Source organism: Homo sapiens, chromosome 3 (assembly GCF_000001405.40).
Source record: "Homo sapiens chromosome 3, GRCh38.p14 Primary Assembly".
NCBI lineage: Eukaryota > Metazoa > Chordata > Mammalia > Primates > Hominidae > Homo > Homo sapiens.
The window spans coordinates 34,073,836-34,074,666 of NC_000003.12; positions in this window are offsets into that span (position 1 = coordinate 34,073,836).

An 831-nucleotide genomic window follows, 5' to 3' on the forward strand; every position below is an offset into this window, starting at 1 on the left:
AGATGGGCTTTGTTTTTCATCAGTCTCCTAGGCTTTAATTGGAGAATGTCTCACGAAATGCATAAAGAACAGGTGCTTAGGACTCATGCAGCAATTAGGAGGGAGATCCGGGTTATCATCCAACAAAGCGGCATCCTCTAGGGCTGGGAGTTGAGAGGAGGCTGAGTGAAGAGCTGGATTTGGCTCCTAATTTAATGAGCATTAAGTTAAACTAAAATTAGTAGTGTGCATTGTGGAACCTGTGAAATAGAGGAAGAAAAACCACATGTAGTTCAAGACCAGTACTGGAGGGCCTTGGCAAAGCTGCTAGCAAATAGGTGTGGCCAGGGTTGGTTGTGTGGTCTCAGGTCCACACCTGATTGGCCATGGACAATTAACCCAAGTCCTAGGCCATCTGCCAGGTGGTTTGCTAGACCCTGGGTAGTTGCAATGTGAGGATCTGTTTGAATGCTTAGCAAGTTATGTTCTTTCTGATTGAAAGGTCACTGACTTGTCCTGAGGGAGAGAGACTTCTAGAGCCAGTACATGTAAGCATTCCTCCCTTCCCTACTAGTCCAAATCTGTCCTTGATTGCTTCCCAAAGATTTGGAAATTTCTTTCTCTGAAAAGTTATTGTGCATTCATTCATTTACTTATTTATCAAATACCTTTTGAAAGCTATGTACTAGATAGAATGTTGGAAATAGAGTGATGAACAAACACAGTCCTACTCCAAGGATTTGGTGCCTGGTGGGGAAGACAGGTGCATCTACAGACGCTTTCCATCTGAGGGTAGTAATTGCTAGGATGGTTGTTTTCACACGTGAAGGGAAGAATTTAACTCAGTCTCTC